The sequence below is a fragment of the Homo sapiens genome, chromosome 2, assembly GCF_000001405.40.
Source record: "Homo sapiens chromosome 2, GRCh38.p14 Primary Assembly".
Classification (NCBI taxonomy): Eukaryota; Metazoa; Chordata; class Mammalia; order Primates; family Hominidae; genus Homo; species Homo sapiens.
Window position 1 is genome coordinate 14,322,126 of NC_000002.12, and position 21,813 is coordinate 14,343,938.

At 36.8% G+C, this 21,813-nt stretch overlaps 1 long non-coding RNA gene across 1 annotated transcript in view, besides 1 other annotated feature; it reads right to left on the reverse strand.

Annotated features, from left to right (window-relative positions):
• The window catches only part of LINC00276 (long intergenic non-protein coding RNA 276), a 172,085-nt gene that overhangs the window by 93,252 nt on the left and 57,020 nt on the right, over positions 1 to 21,813 (reverse strand). The window lies entirely within an intron of this gene.
• Positions 10,665 to 10,864: a silencer, noted in NCBI's record as "fragment chr2:14472914-14473113 (GRCh37/hg19 assembly coordinates)". NCBI's record gives its function as "represses an EF-1alpha promoter that drives an FKBP-Casp9 reporter gene in an ReSE screen in K562 erythroleukemia cells {active_cell/tissue: K562}" and the evidence as "EXISTENCE:reporter gene assay evidence [ECO:0000049][PMID:32094911]".

Consider the following 21,813-nt stretch of genomic DNA (forward strand, 5'->3'; position numbering starts at 1 on the left):
AGTAAAGAAATTTCTGTATCTCACTGTTAATAATAATTTTATTGGAAAAAGGGGCAATCTAAATGAGAAATAGCTGAAAATAACCACAGTATCAATATTTCATTTATTTTTTTTAATAATTAAAGTTAAACTTTTAAGGTAGATTAATGAGTAGAAATAACACTGATCTGAAGCAGAAAGTATTTTCGTCTTGATTTAGCTAGTTATTACCATTGCAACATAACACTTGATATTTATAACAGTCTAACCTTCTCACTGGCTGATAATACATATGAAATTAAGTGCTATGTAAGTGCTTTGTAAACTTTAAAATAAAATACAAATATAAAAGACAATTATTAAAAGAGAGTGAAACATGCTGTATGATTGGTTTTCTCCCCGTCTTGTTCCCCTTCCCCAGTCAAGAAAATATTTCTGGACCTCACATTTCACATCCATAAAAAGATGCTTGTAGAAAGTGAAACTAAGGTCCTTTCCATTTCTAACATTAGATCATTCTAAGTGGGTTGGACATTTCATCCAAGAGATTTTAAGGGAACAAAGCACTTTCTTAGTCTAAGAACTTTTCAAAAGAGAACACTTTGAACCTTTCTTATGAGTCATTTCACAGTTGGGGGACACCTTCTAATTTTATTTCCAACCATCACCAATCAATCACTGAAGGAAGGAAAATAACTGGAGTTAGAACTTTTAAAAATCCTTAACAATTCAGCCTAGCAGAAAATATCTCTAAGGTTTAGGGAAATCACTTATTTCCATAAGATTTGGAAATTCAGACTGTCCACTAAGTTGAGAGCATTTAAGGGCAAATGCAACTGAACAATTTGCCAGAAAAGTATATAAATAAGATATCATAACTGCTTCCCTTAAGAGATCATAATCAGCCCTAATTATAGCAGAATTATCCTCATCCTTGTCCTAAGGCAACTTTAAAGAAGGCATAAGGCTTCCAAGAACGCATTTAACAACACCTCCATTAATGTTATAGATAAGGAATAAGATTTAGAAAGATGAAGTGACTTATCCAAGGTCATACAGCAATTCAGCAAATGGAACAAAATTAGATACCAGTTATAACTCCAATTCTAGTACTGTTTTCCTATATAACATCTTTAATGGGAAATTGCATTTCTGGAAGATCCATATTCCCCATGCCTCAGAAATTGAATAGTAGCCAAAACCCCACATCTTAGAGTTTCCTGAGCAGCGGGTTTTGAATAGTCTGACTTGATTAAAAATGCTTTGGTGATATCTCTTCTCATGATGTGAATTTGGGGTAATTATAAATTATAGTTCATTGATTGATAGATCTCTTGTGTATACTGCAGAATTACAGAGAGCAGCTGCCTTCTAACCTTAGACTTTGGCTCTCCCACTGAACAACCCGGAGATCTTATATAAATTAGAAACTGTCATTTCCAGTTCTCATATCAAGCTAGTTATACTTGATATTGAAAGTGCAAATATTAGAAGGGACCCCAGAACTTTCTATCAGTTTTCTCACTCATGAGTCCCTACCCAACTCCTTCAAATCCTGTGATAATGATGTTGACACAAGTTATCGGACCTCAATGATTCTTAAGAGGCTCAATTCAGGATGCTGCTCAGTTCCTAACACTCTTCACTACTTTAGGAATGAGTTGTAGTGAAATAATGACCTCTACTTATGACTTCCCATAGTCTATTTTTCAGAATATCAGACCTGGAAAAAGAAATTTCTACTGTACCAAGGGGCATCAACCTTGTTATAACCAAGCAACTCTCTTTTAGTTTTGCGGAGAATTTTACATACGACTTTTAGAAACCAAATGTCTACCAAAAAAACTGCATTTATTCTATAATGGTTGACTCTTTTTAATTTCCATTTGTTATTGGGCAAATAAATATATAACAGCAATCAGCATGCTCTTGCCATTTGTAACCATTTCAGCCAACTTAACATTCCAGTAAATTTGTGTAATTTCATTGAGAGGTAATGCATAATATCCATCTTAGTATTAGACATATTGAAAAGTTGAATAGGGCTTCTCATATTACTATTAGCAAGTCTGAAGAATTCCTGCTAAAACTAGGAATTATGTCCCTACATCTCCTAGAGTTGAGAAAGTCGACTATGTTCTGATACTTCACGGAAAGACCTAAGTAGATAACTGGAATATATTCAGAATAAAAGAAAAAAAATTAAATACCAGGAAGAAACTGAGATATTCAGGTTTTACTCATTTTTAATTAGACTATACACTTTCAGGTGAAACACAGTTTCTTGGTTACATTTTGTGGGGGTGTTAATGCATTCTTAACTTATGATGAGTCAATAGTATATTTTAGGAAAATGTTGAAATTGTCTCCAGTAAAACTTGGGAACTTGGAGAACCCTGCGGTTTGAAGAGTCTTCTTTTAGAACTCCTGCCTCTAACCATATGGGTTGCTGAGTAATATATATTTTTATGAAGACAGCACATACTATATAACCATTTCAATTCTGGTAAAAATGAAGTGACTAACTCTTCACAGTCATACATAAGCAGCATTTAAAAGTCCTGTGCTCGCTCTGAGGGGCTTAGTTCTGCAACTCCAGGAAGCCCCTCAACATCTTCAGGACAGTTTCTCCATCTATCAAGTGAAAAGTTGAACTAAATTCATTTGAACACTTTAGGAAATCTGTACAGTCCTTTGCAGATCTAATGTTTTCAGAGTCACAGGTCTATATATTTTGTCCTCCAAATTTGGTTTTTCAGACATCACAATTCTTGCTTTCTGGAGCTGAAAATCATTTGACAAGCAAATATTATCAGTTATACAGTGTTTCACTTTATTTCATGTGTTTATGTATTCATTCCTTCACTCAATCATTCAACAACGTTTTATTAAAAACCTACTCTTTGCCAGGTACAGAGCTAGAAATTACAGACAAAGGAATTGTAAAGTCACAGATGCTGTCTTCAAGTAGCTTAGGAATAGTAGTTATTAACTCAAGTAATCAGGTAATTACAGTGGAATGTGTTAAGAGCCCTAACAGAAAGTCACTGGTGCAGGTGATCTACATGGTAGACACACTTACAGCAGGAAGGAAATCCCAGGAAAAAAAAAAGTGAGTCTCAAAGATGAATACCAGTTAGTTAGATGAAGAAGGGATATGTGTCATGGACACAGCCATACAGATATTGAAGGAAATGGTGAGAAGTTTACTGAAGTTGAAGGGTAAGGTGTGTGATGGGCAGGAGGGAAGTATTGGCTGAATACAGAGCTAAGGAATCAGACAAGGCATCTTGGGGTTAGAAGTGACTTTGACTTCCAGCTTAAATCAGAGGAATTCCAGCTTAAAGCTGAGGAATCAGACATGGCATCTTGGGGTTAGAAGTGAATTTGGCTTCCAGCCTAAATGTAATGAGGAATCATTAGAAATTTTAAGTGCATAGTGGGCTGACATGTCATATTTGTATACTGAACAGATCACTTGGGCTGCAAAAGAAAGGTAAAAAAAAAAAAAAGGGAGGAAAGAAGGAGAAGGGAAAGAGTGGTTGACAGCAGAGAAATTCATTATAAAGCTTTTGCTGAAATTCAAGAGAACGATTGAATTTAACAGCTGCAGGAAAAAATAAAGCCTTGAAATTTGAGATATATTAAAGGAAAATAATGGATAGAACACAAGGACACTAAAGGGTGAATGTTACAGTTAAACTCTTTGGATCTAAAACCTAGTCTCAAATCACCTTATAAATTAGAGCAAATATAATTGACCACATATTAAGCTTGTAGATATCCACAGCTGCACTTTGCATCTTTCTCTGTGGTCCTTCTACTGAGTTTTTAATGATTGGGAAAAAGCAGCATGACAAAAATCGTTTACTGAATGAAAATATTCCCAATCCCCATTAGACAGTATGTAATGAAATGTTCCAAATGGAGGATTACAAGGAAAAAACATAAATGACCGTAAGTCCAAGGGGAATCAACTCTTCTTTCCAGATTATAGTCAACTTTAATAAAGAAACTTAATAAGCTCATGCATTCCTGCCAGCTTTAGACATGGCTACTGCTGATCAATAGTATTTATTTCTAGAGAGAAAGGGGGCTAGGGAGGATGTCAGAGCAGCTTGTTGATGCTAAAACATGCGAGTAATGACACAGTGTGGTGGATAATGAAGATTTGATAGAGGAAACAGCCCAGCAAGCCTGTCTTTGGCTCGGAATATCAAACTGTGTGCCTCTCCTCCAGATCTTATTAACACCTCTTATTCTAACAACTGGGTTTTGAGCTTCATGTCATCTCAAAGGAAAACTAAAAAGAGAAAGCTGTTTATTTTTCCCTGGGTTTATGATTCTAAATAAAACCTAAAGCTTTGAATTTGGAAATGAAAGTTTTTTCTGAGATACATTTCACCTAACAGGAGGATGAACTTACAGATAATCAGAGTTGTCTCTCAATAACACAATCTGTCTTGAGAGAGAGAGACTGATTTTCTTTTCTTTTTTTTAAATTTGACTTAATAAGTTCTGGGATACATATGCAAAACATGCAGGTTTGTTGCATAGGTATACACGTGCTATGGTGGTTTGCTGCACCTATCAACCTGTCATCTACGTTGTAAGCCCCACATACATTAAGCATCTGTCCTAATGCTCTCCCTTCCCTTGCCCCCCAACCCCAGCAGACCCCAGTGTGTGATGTTCCCCTCCCTGTGTCCATGTGTTCTCATTGTTTAACCCCCACTTATGAGTGAGAACATGTGGTATTCAGTTTTCTGTTCCTGTGTTAGTTTGCTGAGAATGATGTTTTCCACCTTCATCCATGTCCGTACAAAGGACATGAACTTATTCATTTTGAAGAAATTTCTAAGTGAAAAAGAATTCAAGTTCCAGCATTATCGCTTACTACTTTTGTACCTTCAAAGCAGAAACTTAATCTGAGTTTGTCTTTTCATCTCTATAAAGAAAATGTTGATACTGCTTCCCACTTTGTTGTGAGTCTTAATGAAATGATGCAAACTAAAATGTTTTGTAAATTGTTATGACTCATGCACAAGTAAAGAGTTATTGTTTCTACAGCTTGTATATGAAAAAAAAAAATTTTTTAAAGTCATTGGGATTCTCACAATCAAGCTACCAATTAAATTCCCAAGGGAGCAATGCCTTTGAAATGTGGACAATATTTTTCTTATACAGAGCCATGTTCCATAGTAGTCTCAAGAATGCAGTAGAGAAAGAAAATATAGGAAAGAAAAACGGGCATTGCTACTTTTTCTTTACCTTTCTGAAGATTTCTGAAAAAAAAATCTAGAGATAAAGAATCACAGTAAAAGGGAATTCTGGTTATAGATACTAGTAAAATAAAAGAGAGAAATGTCATAACCCAGGTAAATCAACATACTGGAGGAATCCAGTCTAAAACTAGAAGTAACCTTAATGTCATTCCCTTATTTTCACAATTAGACTTTAAGATACTAGTAAAGTGTTTCTAGTGGCAAAGGCTAGAGAAGAAAGGTCTAAGATAAAATAAATTATCTAAGGCAAGGTAGAGTGAGGAAATTTTATGGCTGATGATCAGAAAAAGTGTTATTGTACAAATAGAGAAAAACTTCAAATAACCAGAAATTTCAATCAGCCAGAAATTATTTTACTTCACAATATATTTATGTAGAGATATTAGCAATAAAAGAGAATATACCAGATTACAGTCTGGGTCTCATGTCACCCTCATTCCAGGTTTCTAAATCTTCTATAGAACTGAAGCAATTGTATTTTTTTCATGAAGTCTTTCTTGATGCCAGAAATTGTTTTCTTCTCTTGTCTCAGAGACATGATTCATTGTTTCATCCCTCTCTAATGATCTGTATTCAATCCTGCCTATCTCTTTAAGTATGTGTACATTTCATTCATTTGGTCATTGACTCAAAACATTTTACCACACATATTCTATTATATCTTAGAATATCCCTATACCATATTGAGGCATAGAGAGGATATATTGCTTAGGAGAAGATTAAGGTATTTGTTCAACCAATATTAGAGGTGTACTGAGAGACACATAGGTTGTGGTAGAGAAACAAGGTCAATTCTATTTAGGGTGATAAGAGATCATAAAATGTTATACAAAAAAAGGTGGTATATGAGAGATACAAGGTATCTTAAAAGCTAAGTGTTAGTCAAGGAAGTTTGTATAGAGGTAGAAAACTTCTTGGAGAAGGAAAAAACAATGGAATTACTTCAGGCATTGAATGAGAAACATCTATGTGATTAGAAACTGCAAGAAATTAGATGGTGACTGATAAAAGAGAAAAGGCTGAAAACAAGGATTATGACATATAATGGGGATTTTGAACGTCATGTTTAAGAATTTAGGGTTTAAAAATGACAGACATGAGTGGAGTCCACCAGGAAGGTGATCTGATTTGTATTGTGAACATGGCAACCTACACCAAATGGATTGGAAGGAGAGCAAAACGAGTGCATGTGTGTATGTGCCTGTGTATGAAAGAGGGAGAGATTGAGGAGAAACGAGAGAGATAGGAAGCAATGAACCAGTTAACAGGTTATTGTAATACAGGTAAGAGCAAGAGCTAAAAGTCATATCTATGCATGAGTTGTGAATAGAAACTACAGGGCTAGGTAACAGATTGGATTGATTATAGAAGAGCATATGAGAGAAGAAGGGTGCCAGGATGACTCCAAAACCTCCAGTGAGGTAGCTGCCTGGTTCTTGGTGGCAGTCACCACAGGCAGGAAATGCAGAAAGAAGAGCAGACATTCCTTCTACCTGTGCAGATCTTATGTGCTATGAAGCTCTCAAATGGAGCAATCTCTCAGGCAGCTGGATGTTGAGGTCTGGTGCTCAGGGAGTTTGGGCTGAGAAAACAGATTTGCAAATCATCAGCATTTGGCTGAATTTCAAGTTATAAAAGAGGCTCTATGAGGAGGCTGAAGGGTAAGACAAATGCCAAGACAGACTTCAATGTAAAGTATCAGAGTAAAAAAGAAGACCGGGCAAAGGAGCCATAACCAATGTCAGAGACAGGAGGAGAATCAGAAGAGATACACGAAACATGGAAGAATGAATCAAAAAGAGTTGCAAATGGAGTCAAGTTCATCAAAGAGGAGCTTAGAAAAGGACGAAAAAGTGCTCTACGGATTTGGCAATTACAAAGCCCCCGATGGTATCGAATGAGGGTGTTCTGGAGGAGGGAGAGCCAAATGCAGATGAGTAAACACTGGATCCACATTCAGGGTATGGAGACCAGGGTTTGATGAAGGAGCTTGTATGTAAAGGGGAGAGATGAAATGGCATCTCACAGGGAATGGAATGTTAAATAAAGGATATTTTAAGAGACATTTGTGATGTTCCCAGTCCACAAATAAGAAGCCAGCTGACTGACAGTGTTTAAAATAAAGGAAAGAAATGTCAGAACCAAGGTAAATCAACATTCCAGAGGAACCCAGTCTAAAAGTAGAAGTAGTCTTAAACAGAGTCATTGCCTTATTGTCGCAAGTAGATTTTAAGATTTCTGAAATTTAACTCTTTTTACCTTCAGTCACCAGAAACACTTCTTAGTATTCAGAAAACATATGTCACATTTGATGAAAATTATACTAAAATCAGTATAAATGACACTCAGATATTTAAATCAATAGAGAATTTGTATGTTCTTGTTACTTTATTGAATGGTGTGAAGAAATATGCCCACAATTTTTAGAAAGCCCCATTTTCACATCAGTTTATTTAATGGCTGCTGTATTGTAATTATAGTAGCCACTGCAATTACATAATTGTAAGTGTTGCCTACAGATAAAATTGTATAATGGGCCAAATACACCCTTGGAACGAAATCCTACATATGTGAAAGGCACCTGAGTAAAAGGCCATACAGCTGACAATTCACACATATGCCTTCATAGTCACTTGTATTTAAGAACAGTTGTTATTTTATTTCACTTAAAAAGTTGAAAAAAACTATCTGCCTCCAAACTGACATGTTCTGAAAGTGAAACGTGATACTTGAATAAAAGAAAAAGGCTACTTCATTAGCTCATTAGGGGAGCTTTTATTAGTTGTTTTGTTTGTTTGTTTGTTTCTTTTCAGTTTTCCTTTTTTTCCCTATGCTTCAGTAAATTACTGGGTTAACTCTTTGAGTGTATATAATGGCTCATTTACTCTCCCAGGATGCAGTATTATCAAGGGCAGGAATCTGGCTGAAACGGTGACATTAGAGACTGATGGCATAAAGTAGGTGTTGTGCAAATTCAGGAATTCTGAACATAAGTCACCTGAGAAACAAAGAAGGTAATTGAGAAGTCAAGGAAAGGCATCTAGATATTGAAAGGAGCCAACACTGCAGAAATATCAAACGTAAATAAATTTCTTTCTCCCCATGTGAGCTTGGCCAGAATATCTTCTCTTCTAAGTCTATGTAGAAAAATAATTGAATCTATAACATATTCAGTTGAATATTACATATAACGAATATATAATAATTTAATATATAAATGAATATATGAATCATTGAATATATAAATAAGTAAATATATAAAGGACTATATATATCATATCTGTGTTTTTATTATCAGACTAAATTTATATGGCACTTTATTTAATGTAGATCAGTACAGGCCACTTAAAGTTCTAACATATATCAACAATGCATTTCCTCCAGATCTATATACTCTAACAGACTGAATTGTGCATCCACCCCACCCCCAGTCTCTACGTTGAAATCCTAACACCCTAATGTGACTGTATTTGGTAATAGGGCCCTGAAGGCGGTAATTAAAGTTAAGTCACAAGGGTGGGACCCTAATCCAATAGGACTGGTGTCCCTATAAAAAGATGAAGAGATACCAGAGGACTTGCTTGTGTTCTCTCTCACTTTCTCTCTCTCATTCTAGGAATGCATAGAAAAAAGGTTATGCAAAAACACAGAGAAAATGGCCATAGACAAGTTGGAAAGTTGATGGAGTGGGATGCATTGTGATTCCAAACAAAAATGCATGACAATGGGCAGGAATGTATAGTGCTCTAGCAGGGAAGTGGAGAAGGAGCTAACTGTAAATGGCAACATAACCTGCCCCAAAGTTCTTACAAGGATTGCCAGACATAACACTTTCTCATGTTACATTCTTGTTACTATTTTAGTAAGAGCTCAGATCAGATACTATCCCTTCTTAGGAGCCCTTCATGACACATCTCTACCTACCCAGGACCCCTAAAATGGTGAGTTACTCCCCGCTATAATAAAGTTTTTCATTCATACATGCTGCTTTGCAGTTCTCTTCTGTTCATGTTTTTTTCTCTTCCTTGATTTTCAGCTTCAATATTCAATGACTGCCGTATTGTTTTTCTGGATGTTTAAAACTTTAAAAAGATTATAGGTGACACCAAAGGGAAATTATTTTACTCGTTTTAACATTTATTCTCCAAACACTCATGGCTCCACCAATAATGCTATGAGGCTTCACGTGACCTGAGAGGATGTGGCTGAAGTAAAATAAATGTTCTGGAATACACAGGGTACGGGAAATTCCCAGAAAGGTTATTGGTCAAAGCCTTCTGATAGGCTTTTTCTTAAAACCAGGTTCAAATAAGTAATATCTAGGGATTTGACAATTTACTTGATAAATACAGCTTAGACCTAGAGATTCTGGAGTTAAAAAGCTGTAAGGTAGCTGGGGTATCATTCTCAATTCTTTTGTTTGTTGTTTTTTAATTAAAAAAATTGTGGGTACATAGTACGTATGTATATATATATTTATGGGATACTTTAATATATCCCATAATGGGATATATTAATATGGGATATTACTACATCCCATATATATTTTAATATGGGCATGCAATGTGAAACAAGCACATCATAGAGAACGGGGTACCTATACCCTCAAATATTTATCTATTGAGTTGCATACAATGGAATTACACTCTTTAAGTTATTTAAAAATGTACAGTTAGGTTATTCTTGACTATAGTCAGCCTGTTGTGCTATCAGATAGAAGGTGTTATTCATTCTTTCTATTTTTTTGTACCCATTAACCATCTCCACCTTCCTCCCAAACCCCACCACCCTTCCCAGTGTCTGGTAACCATTCTTCTTCTCTCTGTTCATGAATTCAATATGTTATCATTCTCAGTCTCTATGGAAAAAACACAGGTAGAGAGTAGATACCTTCAATCCTACTTTCCTAAGGGTTTTCTAATTGTGTTGGGGTGGAACAGGTGTACTTCGTTTTGAACTAAACTAAATTAACCCAATTTCTTCTGGGTCACTCTTTTATATACAGGCCTGACCTACTTTATGAATTCTGACAACAGTCATGAGTGAATGTGTATGCACCTATGCAGTTTGTATGTGGAGGGGGAAGTAAACTAACATTTACCGAGTCAAGATTCATGGCAAATAATTGTATTTATTTGGGGGACAAGACTAGGGAAAAGCAAATGAGACACTTGCTTTAAGCTCAAAATTTAAGGGGGTGCCAAAAAACTCAGTAATCACAACAAATCATAGTTTAGTGCAATATTTTTAAAAAATCAAATCAAGGCCAGGCTTGGTGGCTCACACCTGTAATCCCAGCAGTTTGGGAGGCTGAGGCGGGTAAATCATGAAGTCAGGAGTTTGAGACCAGCCTGGCTGACATGGTAAAACCCCATCTCTACTAAAAATACAAAAATTAGCCAGGCATGGTGGCCGGTGCCTGTAATCCCAGCTACTCGGGAGGCTGAGGCAGGAGAATCACTTGAACCTGGGAGGCGGAGGTTGCAGTGAGCCGAGATTGCACCATTGCACTCCAGCATGGGCAACAAGAGCAAAACTCCATCTCAAAAAAAAAAAAAAAAAATCAAATCTAAATTAATGAAAAGATGTGTGGTAAACAAAATATAATTTTAAATAAAAATAAGATCAGTATTACTGATTTTTCTATTTTCCTCAGGTTCCAATTATGACTCAGTGGAGCACTGATGTGTGTAATCTTATTCAATCTCAAGATGCCTTCAAAATGGTTCTATTGAGCTCATTTTACAGTGAAGGAAATAGCTCTTGAGGATTTTATTGGTCAGTATCCCACAAACTGAAACCAGAACACAATCCTAACTCTCATTTTGGTGTCCTTTGCTGTACTCTGTGATAATCCTGCTTTAGTGACACTATGGGTCAGGTCAATACAACACTCTATCAATTAAAATGTTCATTCATTTAACCCTTTATTTTCACACCATGGGCAAAGCCATTGTGTTATTTACATCTAAGAAACTGGCATTTTATTTGCACTCTTTTCTCTAAAACACAGAGAAAATAAGCACATTATAATCCTACCACCTGAAAAGGCAAAAATTTCCTGGCTTATCCATAGAAACAGCCTCACCTGACAGCAGGAAAGTAACTGTGTAGATGTACACATTAGGATTACCTGGAGGACAGAGGAAAAATCTGAGACCGATTTCTAGGGCTGAGGCCTCCCTGATAATCAGGACCTCAGGCCTAGCCTACAGTCTCTGTCTTCTCTGTATGAGAAAAAATTCATTCATCCAGAGGGCTGGTAATGTTTAGACCATCTGTGAAAAAGAACATTCCTGCTTGTTTTCTGTTTTATTTTCTTTACAACAAAAAATGAATATGCATTGATTGTAACAACTAAAACATTCTTTTGTAGAAGCAAAAGTTAACCATCTCTCCCTGCTTTCATCCATTCCCTGCCCACAGAGGTAACCAATTAAATACGCTCTTAAATAGCCTTCCATAATGTTTCCTTAATCACACAAGCTTACACAGAAATATATGCCTTATGTAGAGTTTTGGTTTTGACTGAATATTTTTACCAAAATGGGATCATATTGTACATGATTGTCCAATGTGCTTTTTTAAGTTAATAATACATTTTTGTTGTGGCAAAATGTTACAATAGATGCATCTGAATGAGTGGTGTATGAGTGTACATCACACTATTATTGTAGCTTGTTTTTGGATTTAAATTATTTCTTAAACAGAGGGAAAATAAAGAGATAGAAGAGACCTCAAAGACACAGGTTTTATAAAAATGTCTTTTCATGAAATAGATACTGGCAAAGAAAGAGAAAACCAGAGGCAAAAAAAAGGATTAGAGAAACTAAAAGGATAGCAGAAAGCTGTGCAATATGCTAATGACTTCCCTTGGAAATTACTAACATTTAATAAAATTGTATCATTCTCATACATGAATAAAAAACCATATATATATGTGCACATATAATTGCTATTATTGATGTGTGGATGTGTAGAATTGACCTCTTTGTAAAACAGAAATAGATCTAATTTATTAGATTTAATAGCTGCACAATATCCCATGGCATGTAAACACCATATTTACTTCCATCATTTCCCTTTTTTAGAAATAAAAGTTAAATCACCACATTTTGTGCTTTTATTTACATAGATTTGGGGATATTTTGTTTATTGGAAAACCACATAACGTTGCAGTGAATATTGCTGGCCTTGGAATGTTCTTATATATCAGAGGGGGACAACCACCAATGTGACTGTGGTAAGATGAGAACTAAAATTGATGTGCAAGGCAAATCAGCAAGAAGATGAAATCTAGAAAACTGGGACTTGAGCCTGTGTTTGAAAGATAGGTAGTGCTGTGCCAGGTGACCATGGTACTAGGGAGTGCCAGACTGGAGATTAAGAGTGTGTACAGAGAGAGCTTGAGCAAAGGCCTGGAGGGAAAGGAACACAGGACCTGATCAGGACTGCTGAGCAAATATGGCTTCAGCTGATGATATACTCAAAATGGAGGGAAGTAAGGTGAATTAAATGGATTGGAGCTCAACTGCAGGATAAAATTGCACCTTTTTTAAATTACCATGTCCAGAAAAGGTGTCAAGATGGTATAATTTAATAATTCTACTCAGTAAGCATTAACAACTCAAATTTTAATTAGGAGGAAACTGGGAAGCTGAGAGGTTTAAATAGCTTGATCATGTGAACTAGGCCAGACCACACAGTCTGAAGTGGGCTAAAGACTGGCCAAAGTGAGTTCTAAGCCTCAGTTCAAGGTGGCTTTCATGCTGTTTCCTGTAGAACTAGCAAATAAATGGTGCAAACATTACACATAACAGAGAGAAGACTCCCTCTTATTTGTAGTGAAGCATTTGAACTTCATTGATCAATATAATGCTTGCAGAGAGTGAGTCCATATGGTTAGAGGGCCTGAGGTCATAGATCCTGTGTTTTATAACATAGGCTAGGGAAGGTGTCACATCAGCGCTAAAGGTCGCTTATGAATTTCTCATCACATAGGGATTACATAACTCTGCGCTCCATTTGTTTCTGTGTTATTGGGCCTATAGCAGGCATGGTCTAGGTCTGCCTGGACCACAGGAAGGAATTGCAGCTAGTAGTTGATAAAACTAAGATTTCAATCTTTGTCTTTTGAAGTCAAAGTGTCGTACTGTTTCCACAGCATCTTCCCTACTTCGTGGAGCTAGTGCAATAAAAATGATATTACAGACATTAAAGAACCAATCAAACATTAGAATAAATTAGTGACATAATTCCATCCATATTTTAGACAGATCATTTTGGCCATCACATATATGATATTCTAGAGTAATACAAAACTAGAGACAGAAAAAACCTACCAGAAAACTATTCAGAAATTTCAGGCAAGAGAAGACAGGGCCTAAAATATGGCATTGACACTCACAGTGGAAAAGCAGGAATGGGCTTATTTCTGGTCCAAATGGCAAAGCTTTGCAACTTACTGATTGTGAGGCATGAAGATGAAAAAGAAAATGAAGACATTTCAAGTATCGTAATATTGAATAGACTGGATAATGACAACGTGACTGAGAAAAATTATGATCTGTAACTAGGAAATTACTGATCTTTTATTTTCAAGCTTCCCAGCTTACGTAGCCTGAAGCAGCTAAGGCCGTGCATGATAGCAGTTCAGCAGGTGTCTCTCTATGTGCGACTCTGTGCCCCTTCAGATAATAACCTTCCTTAACTTTGAAATCAAATGTATTTGTGTTGACCTCAGTTTCATGTGCTATCCTATCCTTCTCCCATGAAAGCCCCAAGATATTCCTTGAATTCCATAGAATAAGTTTGACCATTCTGAAAAAATCTACTTATCATATTTGGTAATGGTTAATATTGATTGTCAACTTGATTGGATTGAAGGATGCAAAGTATCGTGCCTGGGTGTGTCTGTGAGGGTGTTGCCAAAAGAGATTAACATTTGCCTCAGTGGCCTGGCAGAAGCAGACGCGACCTCAATCTGGGAGGGCACCATCTAATCAGCTGCCTGCACAGCTAGAATAAAGCAGGCAGGAGCAGATAGAAGACCAGACTTGCTGAGTCTTCTGGCCTTCATCTTTTGGACCTACCCCAGCGGTTTGCCAGGGGCTTTTGGGTCTTTGGCCACAGACTGCAGGCTGAACTGTTGGGTTCCCTACGTTTGAGGTTTTGGGACTCAGACTGATCCAGTACTGCTTTCCTTGCTCCTCAACTTGCAGATGACATATTGTGAGACTTTACCTTGTGATTGTGTGAGTCAATTCTTCTTAATAAACTCCCTTTACATATATGTGTATATATATATATATATATATACACATAAAAATATATATACTATTATATATATAATATATATACATACTTATATATAATAGTGTATATATATATAATATATTTGTATATACTATTAGTTCTGTCCCTCTAGAGAACCATGACTAATACATATTTAGAAGTTGTAATATGTACTTCTTAACCAGGCAATGCAATGCCCTCCATAGTTGCCCCCTACTTACTGTCTGACCTCATCTCTTGCTTGCATGTTCACTCACCTCCTCTTCCCCAACAATAGCAAATAAAACAGTTTCTGTGACACATCATTTGCACATTCCATGTCTCTGCTTTTACTTTTAATGCTCTCTCTGGACAGCCTATTTCTCTGAGGTATGATTGATGGTGCGGTGGGTAATCTTCCTAGAAACATAAATACTTCAAGACTTATTTTTCTCAAGAGAGTTTTCCTAATGTTAGCCTTCTCCAGGAAATACTAAGCACTCCCTTTAGAGCACACTCTGTTACTTTACACTTCCATCTCTCTATCAGTTATGCTTCACTGTGTGTATGAGTTACACGTTTCCCTCCCTGTCCAGCAGGTATAGTATTAGGCCTGTTAGCCTGTTCATTTTCTGGAAAAGCATACTGCTTAGAAAATAATTATTCTTTTATTTCTAAAGCATTTGTTGTACTATCTCCTCTTTGATTTATTATTCTATTTATTTGAGTTTTTTCTCTTTTCTTCCTGGTCTAGCTAAGAGTTTGACAATTTTGTTTATCTTATTTAAAAACCAACCCTTCGTTTTGTTGATTTTTTATATTGGTTTTCTATTCTGTATTTATTTATGCTCTTATCTTTATAATTTCCTCCCTTTTGTTAATCTTGGGCTTAGTTTGTCCTTCTTTTTCTCATTTCTTAAGGTATATATTGTTTATTTAGCATGTTTTTCTTTTGTCAATGCAGGCATTTTTTCTATAAACTTCCTTCATACTACTTAATACTGCTTTTGCAATGTTTCCCTTAAGTTTTAGTATATTGTGTTTTGTTTTACTTTCATTTCTCTCAAGATTGTCAAAATTCCTTTTTGATTTCTTTTTTGACCTAATTGTTGTTGAACAGTGTGTTGATTAGTTTCCATGTGCTTGTGAATTTTCCTTTTTTTTGCAGGGGGCGGCTGTCACTGATTTCTAGTTTCATTTCATTGTCCTTGGAAGAGATACTTGGCTTGATTAATCTTCTTCAATTTGTTAAGATTCTTTATGTAGACTAACATGTAATCTATTCTGGAGAATGTTCCATTTGAGTTTGAAAAGAATGTGTATCCTTTTGTTATTGGGGAGAAAGTTCCATATATATATATGTTATGCCAATTTAGTCTATAATGTTGTTCAAGTCTGCCATTTATTTGTTGACTTTATATCTGTATGTTCTATCAATTATTGAAAATGGGATATGTAAGATTCCTACTATTATTGCATTGCTGTCAACTTCTGTCTTCAGATCAGTCAATATTTACTTTACATATTTTGCTGCTCTGATGTTGGGTGTATATATATATATATATTTATAATTGTATCTTTTTGTTGAAGTAAAATTTTATTAATTTTTAATGGCCTTCCTTTTCTCTATAAACAATAGTCAAGGCTTAAAATCAATTTTGTCTGGTATAAGTAGAGACATTCCTGCTTTTTTGTTGTTTTGTGTTTTTCGGGTTTTTTTTTTTTTGGTTACCATTTACATGGAATATCATTTTCTCAATCTCTTCACTTTCAGCCTGTGTCCTTAAAGCTGAAGTGAGTCTCTTTTAGACAGCATATAGCTGAATCTTAGTATTTTTATCCACTCAACTACTCTATACCTCTTTATTCAAAAGTTTAATTTATTTTCATTTAAGGTAACTGTTGATAGGAAAAGATTTACCATTGCCATCTTGTTAACTGTTCTCTGTTGTGTAGTCCCTTTGAATTACAAGAGACTATTATGAATAATTATATGCCAAAAATTTAATAAGCTAGAATAAATTGGTAAATACCTAGAAATGTAACCTACAAAGACTGAATCAAGAAGAAATAAAAATACTAAACAGGTAATTAATAAATAAAGAGCTTGAATCAATAATCCAAAACTTTCAACAAAAAGGCCCAGGACCAGATGGCTTCATGGGTGAATTCAAACAACCATTCATAAAAGATTTAATACCAATCCTTCTTTAACTCTTCCAAGAAAACAGATGTAGAGGGAAAACTTCCAAACTTATTTTATGAGGCCAGCAACACTCTGATTCCAAAGCTAGGCAAAAATATTATAAGAAAAGAAAACTACCACCCAAATCCCTAATGAACAATGATGCAAATATCCTCAGTAAAGTACTGGCAAACAAAATTCAACAGCACATTAAAAGATTTATATGCCGTGATCAAGAGAAATTTATCCCTGGGTTGCAACAGTGGTTCAGCATATATAAATCAGTTAATGTGATATATCACATTCACAGATTAAAAGCAAAAAACACATATATACCTCAATAGATACAGAAAAATATTTTTTAAACTCAACATCCATTAATGATAAATAATATTTAACAAAATAGGTATAAAAAACTTACCTCAATACTAACATAATAATTAATAGACAAAGAAGCCTGAAAACTTTTTCTCAAGGACCCAGTAGAAAACAAGGATTTCGGCCGGGCACGGTGGCTCACACCTGTAACCCCAGCACTTTGGGAGGCCGAGGTGGGTGGATCACGAGGTCAGGAGATGGAGACCATCCTGGCTAACATGGTGAAACCCCATCTCCACTAAAAATACAAAAAATTAGCCAGGTGTAGTGGCTGGCACCTGTAGTCCCAGCTACTCGGGAGGCTGAGGCAGGAGAATGGCGTGAACCCAGGAGGCGGAGCTTGCAGTGAGCTGAGCTCATGCCACTGCACTCCAGCCTGGGTGACAGAGTGAGACTCCATCTCAAAAAAAAAAAAAAAAAAGGATTTCTGCTCTTGCCACTTCTATTCAACAGAATATTACAAGTCTTAGCCAGAGCAATCAGACAAGAAAAAGAAATAAAAGGTACCCAAATACAAAAGAAAAAATCAAAATTATATATATGTAGAGGACATATATATATATAATTAAACATATGCAGAGGACATAAATTATATATATGTAGAGGACATAAATTATATATATGTAGAGAACAAAATTATATATATGTAAAGGACATATATATATAAAATATATATATATAATATATATGTAGAGGACATGACAAACCATATGGTTTTCTATATGTAGAAAACCGTAAGGAATCAATAGCAGCAAAAAGCCTGTTAGAACTTATCATTGAATTCAGTAAATTTGCAAATACGAAATCAGCATACCAAAATTAGTGTCATTTCTATACAATAGCAGTCAACTATTTTAAACAGAAAACTTTAAAATTCCATCTGCAATAGCAACAAAAAGAATAAAATGCTTAGAAATGAACTTAACCAAAAAGGCTAAAGATTTATACACTGAAATTTATAAATATTAGTGAAGGAAATTAAAGAAGACACAGATGAAAAGATACCACGTTCATGCATTGAAAGAATTAATATTGTTAATATGTCTATACTATGCAAAGTGATCTACAGATTAAACAAATTATTCATAAACATCCCGTGACATTCCCTACAGATATAGAAAAACAGATGCTAAAATTAATATGGAACTGCAAAAGATCTCAAATAAACAAAGCAATTTTGAGCAAGAACAAAACTAGAGGCATCACACTTCCTGACTTAAAAATATATTACAATTCTACAGTAATGAAAAAAATACATAATACTGGCATAAAAACAGACATACAGACCAATGGAACAAAACACAGAGCCCAGAAATAAGTCTACTTATTTATGGTCAACCGATCTTTGAGAAGAGTATCAAGAACACACAATGGAAAGGAATGGTCTCTTCAGTAAACAGCTTTGGGAAAATTGGATATCTATATGCAGAAGAATAAAACTGGACCCTTATGCAGTAGTTCCCACTTATTCAACATTTTGCTTTCCACAGTTTTAGTTATCCACAGTCAACTATGGCCTGAAAATATTAAATAAAAAATTCCAGAAATGAACAATTTATAAATTTCAAATTGTTTACCATACTGAGTAAGATGATTAAATCTCATGCCATCCCACTCAACAAAAGCATCTGTCACCCAGAATATGAATCATCCCTTTGTCCTGCAGATCCACACTGTATACACTACTCGCTCATTTGTCACGTAGCCATCTTATCAGATCGAATTTCACAGTATCACAGTTTTTTATCTTCAAGTAACCCTTATTTTACTTAATAATGCCTTCAAAGTACAAGGGTAGTGATGCTGGCAATTGGGATGTGCCAAAGAGAAGCTGGAAATTGCTTGAAAAAGTGAAAGTTTATTATAGGTGTGTATGTATAGAAAAAACATAGTATGCATAGGATCTGGTACTATCTAGGGTTTTGGTGGCAGCAGCAGTCTATCTGGAGCAACTGCTGCCATGATGCCAGCTGCAGTGGGGGATGTATGGCAGGGGCTGTGTGCTCCACAAAGCCCACAGGAGCTGGGAACAGGTGAAAGCCCCACCCCCTTATGAGTTGGCAGGGCAGAAGCCTTGCCCTCCTGGGCACGGATGTAGCCACTGAGCCACAGCTGCAGACCTGGGCATCCCTGTGCTCTTGGGGGCCCAGGAAGCCCCCCTACCCCCACAGGCTTGGAAGTGCCTGCTCCCACTGCCTGGCCAATCCCAGTGCCCACACAAATTTTGGAGCAAAGTTGAGACCAAGTCCAGATGCTGTGACAACTCGGCCAGGTGTGTGCATGCTTGGGGAAGCACTGACACATCAGCCTCTGCTGCTTTGGCCCCCTCCAGACTTTGGGTGCTGACCAACACAGGAGGGAGGTCAAGGGGATGCTGAGGGTGGCTTGGCATGGGCCTGAAGCCACCCCTCATCACAAACAGCCTGGACACTGTAGCCACTGTGGATGGCAGGTTAATGGTGGCAAGAGGAAGACAGGCTCCTGGGCAAAAAGAGATGGGTTCCTGGTGAAACCCCACTTTCAGGGCAGGGACAGCCTGAGACTCCCAGTTCCATGCACCGGAGTGAGAACCCACAGGCTTTTTCCAGGCCTGCCATGGCTGCCCATGGACAAATCAGCACACAGTTTCTCCTCTCTGAAGCCCATAAAAACCACAGACTTAGCCAGGCTCAAGCAGACAATGGGACAACCTGCTTGTGGAGAGGAGATACCCACTGCAGGTCTCCTGCCTGCTGAGAGCTGGGCAGATGACAGGACTACCCGCCAACAGAGAGGATCTACCTAATGTCAGTCTCCGCTCTGCTAACAGCTGGGCAGATGAAAGGACAACCTGCCTGTGGAAAGGAGTTGCCCATTGCGGGTCTCCTCTGAGCTGTTTAATAAGGCACCTCTTTGCCGTGCTTACCCTTCAGTTGTCCATGTACCTAATTGTGTCTGGGCATGGAACAAGAACTCAGGACTCACCAAACGGCAGGGCTAAAAGAGCAGGGGCTGAAATACACCCCTTGCTTGCCACATTGCAGGCAATGAGAAGGAGAGAAGAGAGAAGGAGAGAAGAACTGCAGCCCCCTGGGGATCCCAGACCAAGGAGCTCCCCAAGCCAGGGTTCTGACACCATCTTTGGGGTTCTGCAGTTCCTGGCATCTCCAAGCTTCTGAGCACCACTCTGTGCCCTGGTGCCAGCAGTGGAAGAAGCTTGTGGTATGCCTGGTTCAGCCACAGCGTCACAGGGAGCCAGCACCTATCTTGGTGCATGGAGCTGCCTGCACTGCCACAGCCAGTGTCCCTAGCTGTGTGCAGTGGCCAGACCCCATGTTTGCCTGCTCACACACCCCTCACCACTCCATGCCTGGCTCACCCTTAGCAGGCATGAGATCCAGGCCAGTAGCGTGAACGGAGCACAGCCTGTCAGGCCAAAGGGGTGGAATGAGCCCAGTGGGCCTGAGCAAAACTCAGGCCAAGTTACCACCAGCCACAAAAATTTCTGGATGGAAGGATGGAAAAGTGACACCTCAAGGATCACATGACAGTTTCAGGCATCCACCGGGATCTTGAAACTTACACTCTGTAAATAAGAGGCAACCACTCTATCACACCATATTAAAAAATCAGCACAACATATATTAAGGCTTAAAAATAATACCTGAAACTGTACAACAAATAGAAACATAAAAGATAAAGCTTTTAGGTATTGGGACTTGGAAACAGATTTTTGGGATATGACAACAAAAGTACATGAAACAAAAGCAAAAAATAGAAAAGTGGAATTGCATTAAACTTAAAATCTTCTGCACAGCAAAGGAAACAACAGAGTGAAAACACAACTTATGGAATGGGAGAAAATATTTACAAGCCCTATATCTGATAGGAGTTAATATTCAAAATACATAGTGAACTCATACAACTCAATAGCAAAAACACAAATAACAATTTTAAAATGGGCAAAGGACCTAAATAGACATTTCCCCAAGGAAGATATATAAATGGCCAATGAGTATATAAAATGGGTGTTCAATATCACTAATCAACAGGGAATGTAAATCAAAACCACAGTCAGATATCACCTCATACGCTTCTTAGAATGGCTATTACTAAAAACACAAATGGTAAGTAAGTGTTGGCAAGAATGTGGAGAAAAAGGGATATTTTTACACTGTTAGTAGGAATGTAAGTTGGTGCAGCCCTTATAAGACACAGTATGAAAATTCCTTTAAAAATTTAGATAGAACTACTATTTTCTAGTAATTCTAGTTCTGAGCATATACAGAAAGCAAATGAAATCTCTATCTTGAAGAGATACCTTCACATCCATCTTCATTGCAGCATTGTTCATAGTTAAGATATGGAAACAACCTAAATATCTGTCAGTGGATAAATAAAGAAGCTGATAATATATCACAGTTTCTTTAACTATATATATATATATATATATATACACACACACACACACACACGTGTATGTGTATATGTGTGTGTATATATGTGTATGTGTGTATGTATATCTGTGTGACTTTATTTTATATATATAAATGTATACGTGTGTATGTATATACATATGTGTGTATATATATGTATGTAAAGGTGTGTCTATATATATGTGTGTGTATATAAATTTTATCTTTAAAAAAATCCTGTCATTTGTAACAACATGGATAAACCTAGAAGACACTGTGCTAGGTAGCCCAGACACAGAAAGACAAATGCTGTATGATG